Genomic DNA, 2903 nt, shown 5'->3' with positions numbered 1-2903 from the left:
AGACGTGAGCCATTGCGCCCGCCTATTTATTACATTAATTGTCTGTCTCTTCCCACTAGAAAGCAAGTCTAGAGTCTAGAGCTCTGTTTTGTTCATCAGTATGTATCTCCAGAACGTGGGAAATAGTTAAGTAGGTGTTCAATACATAATTACTGAGTGTTGTTGAATGAATAAAATGAGGTTGAAAAAAGATTAATTTGGAGATTTTCCAGTTAGAAAAGGGAAGAGAATGGGTAGAGCCAGTGAGATTAGAGGGTCCTATGTAAATGAGCAGAAGAAAAAAAACACAGTTAACGTGGATTTATTGATCATCTACTATATACCTGTTAAAAGTAGTGAAAATATAATTAAAAATAAGGCCAGACGTGGTGTCGTCTCATGCCTGTAATCCCAGCACTTTGGGAGGCTGAGGCAGGAGGATCACTTGAGTCCAGGAGTTTGAGATCATCCTAGGCAACATAGGATTTTTTTTTATTTTTTTGAGACAGAGTCTCACTCTATCGCCCAGGCTAGAGTGCAGTGGCTCAATCTCAGCTCACTGCAACCTTCTGCCTCCCAGGTTCAAACAGTTCTCCTGCCTCAGCCTCCTGAGTAGCTGGGATTAGAGGCGCGCACCACCATGCCTGGCTACTTCTTTTGTATTTTTAGTAGAGACGGGGTTTCACCATGTTGGTCAGGCTGGTCTCGAACTCCTGACTTTGTGATCTGCCAGCCTTGGCCTCCCAAAGTGCTGGGATTACAGGCATGAGCCACTGCACCAGGCCGGAAGACTCCATCTTAAAAAAAAAAAAATTATCCAGGCTTGGTGGCATGCACCTGTAGTCCCAGCTACTTGGGAGACTGAGGTGTAAGGATTGCTTCACCCTGAGGGGTCAAGACTGCAGTGACCCATGATAGCGCCACCACACTCTGGCTAGGGTGACAGAGAGAGATTCTATCTCAAAATAATAATAATTAATATACCATTTGTAAGTGGTAACAAAAACTGTAGAGTATCTAGGAAGTATTTGAGGATACATAAGACCTGTATGGAAAAAAATTAAAACCTCAAATAAAAAACAGAGAATATAATAAAAATGAGAAAGACATACTGTACTCTTGGGAGGAATAAATCAATAGCACAAAAAATTAATTTTCTCCAAATTAATCTATAAATTCAATTTAATCGCATTCAAAATGGAATAGTTTTTTTCTGGGAAGCTGATACACTTACTGTAAAATGTTTGTGGATGAATAAAGATCTACAAGATAGAATAAAGGGAAGGGGAGGTACCTGCCCCACCAGATGCTAAGGCATACTACAAAGCCATGGAAATAGTGATATTGGCACAAGATCAGATGAATCAGTGAAACACAAGATCAATGGAACAGAATAAAGAGTTCAGAGATGGTTCCATATGGAAACTTAATATATGTAATGATGTTACCCCAGATCACTGAGGGAGGATAATCATTCTTCCTCCCCCAATGATCTGGGGTAAAGTCTTTATAGTCAGTAGTAGATTCTATTGGAAAAACTGGCTCCTAAGTAAGGAAAATTAGACTGGATTTCTATTTGACACCACATTTAAAAGTGAACTTCAAATAGAGTGAAAACTTAAATGTAAAAGGTAATACTATAAAATTAATAGAAGAAAATGTAGCATATCTTTGGGATCTAGAGGACTTCCAGCTTTTGATAAAGAAAGAGTAGCTTGTATTGGGCTGATTCTCCTGTGAATAACATTATAGACTCTCAACAGAATATAATAAATGACTATTTGAAGACACTGGAGAATGACTAAAAGCAGGCAGAAACTGTATGTATATAACTGTAGAAAGAAGGAAAAGAGTACTGGGTGTGATCTACTTTTATCTGGCTTTTACCTTGAGGTCACTCACCATTTGAGTGGTCTATGGGGTGGAGCTCATGCAGAAAGTGGCAGTCTTATTGGGCTTGTAGAGTCAGAAGAGTGCAAGGTTGCGAGAGCAGCTGGAACTTGAGGGGGGAAATCACAGAATAAGCCACAGAAGAAAGAATCCCAAAATACATACAAAAATTTCCTTCTAATTTATAGCCATCCCCTGAACTAGTCATATGCAGGGTAAGATTCCAAAAAACTCCTGGGAAAACAACAGCTGGAAGGCTGAAAGAGCTGAGCAGAAATTTCAGCAGCTGCTCTGCCCTGGGAATATAGTTTGCAGTTAAAATTCTGCCAAATTGGAGAGACTTGGCAAACACTCCTGGCTTTTGATTGACACCCCAGAAGGGGTATCAGACCTTAGGAGTTGAGACCATGTCCCAGGACTAAGGGTTGCACCCTAGAACTACTGGCAAACTCAAATAGACTTTCCTTAGCAAAGGCTAAAACCAAGCCGCCACAGGGTCAAGGTGATCTGCAGCAATCTGAGTCTCTGCTAGAATGAAACTCAACACTTTTCAATCTGAGGGCCTTGTCAAATTCAATGCACAAAGAAAAAACAAGATAGTTACTCAACATTTTTTAATCCACGAGCCTTAGTGAACTAACAGCATAAAGAAAAATCCACAAGTCTGGGCATGGTGGCTCACGCCTGTAATCCCAGCATTTTGGGAGGCTGAGGCAGGTGGATGACTTGAGCCCAAGAGTTTGAGACCAGCCTGGGTAACATGGTGAAACCCCATCTTTCCAAAAAAAAAAAAAAAATTTAACAAGATGCATCATGATTACCAAAGATAAGGAGAAAATCTTAAAATCAGCTATGGGGAAAAAAACCACATTATATATAGGGGATGATAATGATAATGATAAGAATATTGGTTGAGTTGACTTTTCATGAGGAACAATTGAGGCCAGAAGACAATGGAACAATATGCTCAAGTTGTTGGGAAAAAAAAAAAGTCAAGTTAGAAGTCTATGTTGACCATAAACATCTCTTTTTTT

The sequence above is a fragment of the Homo sapiens genome, chromosome 5 (genome assembly GCF_000001405.40).
Source record: "Homo sapiens chromosome 5, GRCh38.p14 Primary Assembly".
In the NCBI taxonomy this organism is placed as follows: Eukaryota; Metazoa; Chordata; class Mammalia; order Primates; family Hominidae; genus Homo; species Homo sapiens.
This window is presented reverse-complemented; position numbering follows the sequence as displayed.